Raw genomic sequence first — 4,965 nt, forward strand, 5'->3', positions numbered from 1 at the left:
TTTTTAACCGCTCCAATAATCTTTTCCTTTATTGATAAGTGTAGTATGTTTACATTTATAATGATTGCTAACATATTGCGATTGGCTTGCATCTTCTTACAAGCTTTCTACTTGAGTGGCTTCTTTATTTTACATTATTTTATTTGCTTTCCCATCTTTTCACTCTCACCTTCTTTAGATCACATTTTTTAAAACTTCCCCCTTTAATTTTTCTCAATTCATTTTTTTCTCCTAACAGCCTGAAACTTTTGTGATCTGCATTTTTTTTTGCAAATCACAAAATCTTAAGCAATCTTACGTGACTTGATTGCCAAGTTTTGCCAACAAATTAGGCATTATTGTTGTTGCTATTTTATTTATCACATCAATAATTTATGGATATATCTGCATACATGCAGTATCTTTGCTTGTAACTTTTACTCAATTAAACCTTGTATGTCAGATTGATTTCTATTAATATTTGTCAGAGGTAACTATTTAAAACTTTTTTCAGTAATAAGAACCCTGTGTGATAAAACTCCCTAAAATTTTGTGTGCCTGAAAAGAAATTTATTTTGCTGTGTTCTTAAAAGATAGCTTCACTGGGTATAGAATTCTAAGTTGAAAATTATTTTTCTTAGTACATTAAACATATTCCACTTGTGGTTTCTCTTATCACTGTTAAGGAGCTGTGTCTAAATCTAAATGCTATTTTTTGATTTTATTTTTTGGTCTTTCTGGTTTCTTTTAAAACCATTCCTTTTTTTTTTTTTTTTTTTTTTTTTTTTTTTTGCCATTTTGCAATACACATTCTATGTCTAAGGATGGGTTTTTAAATTTATTTGTCCTGTTTGGGGATCCCTGAATTCCTTAGATCTGATAATTGGAATTTATCAACAATTTTGGAAAAAGTATAATCTCTTTGAAGAGCTGCACTTGCCTGGAGCTTAGCCTCAGCCCTGGAGCTAAGGGAAGAATGAGAAATATCTCACGTGGAGTTTCCATCTTGCCACGCTGGTAGATGGGAGAAGAAAAGGAAATTTGGACACAAACATGTAAGAAGAAAGAAGCTGCAAAGGCATAGGAAAAAGATGCCTATCTACAAGCCAAGAAGAGAGGTCTCAGAAGGAACTACTTCTGCTAACACCTGAACTGCAGACATCTGGTCTTCAGAATTGGTGACTTTGTCATGGAGGTCTAACTTGCTTGAAATTCTTGGTTACCTGAAGTATCTGGCATGTTGGAAGGAATCCTTTGGACTTTAGAATGCAATTACCAGGACTGGATGAATGGCTAATTGGATTAAGCGTTGCTTGGATTTGCTGTTCTAAAGCTGCTAAAGTACCTGCTTTTCTGGACTACCTAATGCCTGACCCCTTCACCCACTCCTGTGTCCCCTGTGTCTAGGGAACATCATATCTTTTTTTAAATTTCTTTTTAATTGTACTTCAGGGCACATGTGCACAACGTGCAGGTTTGTTACATAGGTATACATGTGCCATGTTGGTTTGCTGCACCCATCAACCTGTCATTTACAGTAGGTATTTCTCCTAATACTATCCCTCCCGCAGCCCCCCACTCCCCGACAGGCCCCAGTGAGTGATGTTCCCTGCCCTGTGTCCAAGTGTTTCCATTGTTCAATTCCCACCTATGAGTGAGAACATGTGGTGTTTGGTTTTCTATCCTTGTGATAATTTGCTGAGAATGATGGTTTCCAGCATCATCCATGTCCCTGCAAAGGACATGAACTCATCCTTTCTTATGGCTGCGTAGTATTCCATGGGTTATATAAGCCACATTTTCTTCATCCAGTCTATCATTGATGGACATTTGGGTTGAATTCAAGTCTTTACTATTGTGAATAGTGCTGCAATAAACATACATGCGCATGTGTCTTTATAGTAGCATGATTTATAATCCCTTGGGTATATACCCAGTAAAGGGATCGCTGGGTCAAATGTTTTTTCTAGTTCTAGATCATTGAGGAATTGCCACACTGTCTTCCACAGTGGTTGAACTAATTTACACTCCCATCAACACTGTAAAAGCATTCCTATTTCTCCACATCCTTTCCAGCATCTGTTGTTTCCTGACTTTTTAATGATCACCATTCTAACTGGTGTGAGATGGTATCTCATTGTGGCTTTGATTTGCATTTCTCTGATAACCAGTGATGATGAGCATTTTTTCATGTGTTTGTTGGCTGCATAAATGTCTTCTTTTGAGAACCGTCTGTTCATATCCTTTGCCCAGTTTTTGATGGGGTTGTTTGTTTTTTTCTTGTAAATTTGTTTAAGTTCTTTGTAGACTCTGGATATTAGCCCTTTGTCAGATGGGTAGATTGCAAAAATTTTCTCCCGTTCTGTAGGTTGCCTGCTCACTCTGAGTGTAGTTTCTTTTGCCATGCAGAAGCTCTTTAGTTTAATTAGATCCCATTTGTCAATTTTGGCTTTTGTTGTCATTGCTTTTGGTGTTTTAGTCATGAAGTCTTTGCCCATGCCTATGTCCTGAATGATATCGCCTAGGTTGTCTTCTATGGTTTTTATGGTTTTAGGTCTAACATTTAAGTCTTTAATCCATCTTGAATTAAATTTTGTATAAGGTGTAAGGAAGGGATCCAGTTTCAGCTTTCTGCATACGGCTAGCCAGTATGGCCATTTCCACGATATTGATTGGAATAGTTTCAGAAGGAATGGTACCAGCTCATCTTTGTACCTCTGGTAGAATTTGGCAGCGAATTATTATTTATTAAATAGGGAATCCTTTCCTCATTTCTTGTTTTTGTCCTGTTTGTCAAAGATCAGATGGTTGTAGATATGTGGTGTTATTTCCGAGGCCTCTGTTCTGTTCCATTGGTCTATATATCTGTTTTGGTATCAGTACCATGCTGTTTTGGTTACTGTAGCCTTGTAGTATAGTTTGAAGTCAGGTAGCATGACGCCTCCAGCTTTGTTCTTTTGGCTTAGGATTGTCTTGGCTATGCAGGCTCTTTTTTGGTTCCATATGAACTTTAAAGTAGTTTTTTTCCCCCAATTCTGTGAAGAAAGTCACTGGTAGCTTGATGGGGATAGCATTGACTCTATAACTTACCTTGGGCAGTATAGCCATTTTCACAATATTGATTCTTTTATCCATAAGCATGGAATGTTCTTCCATTTGTTTGTGTCCTCTTTTATTTTGTTGAGCAGTGGTTTGTAGTTCTCCTTGAAGAGGTCCTTCATATCCCTTGTAAGTTGGATTCCTAGGTATTTTATTCTCTTTGAAGCAATTGTGAATGGGAGTTCATTCATGATTTGGCTTTCTGTTTGTCTGTTATCGATGTATAAGAATGCTTGTGATTTCTGCACATTGATTTTGTATCCTGAGACTTTGCTGAAGTTGCTTATCAGCTTAACGAGATTTTGGGCTGAGATGATGGGGTTTTCTAAATATACAATCACGTCATCTGCAAACAGGGACAATTTGACTTCCTCTTTTCCTAATTGAATACCCTTTATTCCTTTCTCCTGCCTGATTGCCCTGGCCAGAACTTCCAACGGTATGTGGAATAGGAGTGGTGAGAGAGGGTATCCTTGTCATGTGCTGGTTTTCAAAAGGAATGCTTCCAGTTTTTGCCCATTCAGTATGATATTGGCTGTGGGTTTGTCATAAATAGCTTTTATTATTTTGTGATACGTTCCATCAGTACCTAGTTTATTAAGAGTTTTTACCATGAAGCGCTGTTGAATTTTGTCAAAAGCCTTTTCTGCATCTATTGAGATAATCATGTGGTTTTTGTTGTCGGTTCTGTTTATGTGATGGATTATGTTTACTGATTTGTGTATGTTGAACCAGCCTTGCATCCCAGGGATGAAGCTGACTTGATCGTGGTGGATAAGCTTTTTGATGTGCTGCTGGATTTGGTTTGCCAGTATTTTACTGAGGATTTTTACATCAATGTTCATCAGGGATATTGGTCTAAAATTCTCTTTTTTGTGTGTGTCTCTGCCAGGCTTTGGTATCAGGATGATGATGGCCTCTTAAATGAGTTTGGGAGGATTCTCTCTTTTTCTGTTGATTGGAATGGTTTCAGAAGGAATGGTACCAGTTCCTCCTTGTACCTCTGGTAGAATTCGGCTGTGAATCCATCTGGTCCTGTACTGTTTTTTGTTGGTAGGCTATTAATTATTGCTTCAATTTCAGAGCCTGTTATTGGTCTATTCAGAGATTCAACTTATTCCTGATTTAGTCTTGGGAGGGTGTATGTGTCCAGGAATTTATCCATTTCTTCTAGATTTTCTAGTTTGTTTGCGTAGAGGTGTTTATAGTATTCTCTGATGGTAGTTTGTATTTCTGTGGGATCGGGGTGATATCCCCTTTATCATTTTCTGTTGCATCTATTTGATTCCTCTCTCTTTTCTGCCTTTTAGATCGATTTTGTTGATCTATTCAAAAAACTAGCTCCTGGATTCATTGATTTTTTGAAGGTTTTTTTGTGTCTCTATCTCTTTCAGTTCTGCTCTGATCTTAGTTATTTCTTGCCTTCTGCTAGATTTTGAATTTGTTTGCTTTTGCTTCTCTAGTTCTTTTAACTGTGATGTTAGGGTGTTGATTTCAGATCTTTCCTGCTTTCTCCTGTGGGCATTTAGTGCTATAAATTTCCCTCTACACACTGCTTTAAATGTATCCCAGAAATTCTGGTATGTTGTGTCTTTGTTCTCATTGGTTTCAAAGAACATCTTTATTTCTGCCTTCATTTCTTTATGTACCCGGTAGTCATTCAGGAGCAGGTTGTTCAGTTTCCACGTAGTTGAGCGGTTTTGAGTGAGTTTCTTAAATCTGAGTTCTAATTTGATTGCACTGTGGTCTGAGAGACAGTTTGTTGTGATTTCTATTCTTTTACATTTGCTGAGGAGTGCTTTGCTTCCAATTATGTGGTCAATTTTAGAATAAGTGCAATGTGGTGCTGAGAAGAATGTATATTCTGTTGATTTGGGGTGGAGAGTT

The sequence above is a fragment of the Homo sapiens genome, chromosome 6 (genome assembly GCF_000001405.40).
Source record: "Homo sapiens chromosome 6, GRCh38.p14 Primary Assembly".
Taxonomy (NCBI): Eukaryota; Metazoa; Chordata; class Mammalia; order Primates; family Hominidae; genus Homo; species Homo sapiens.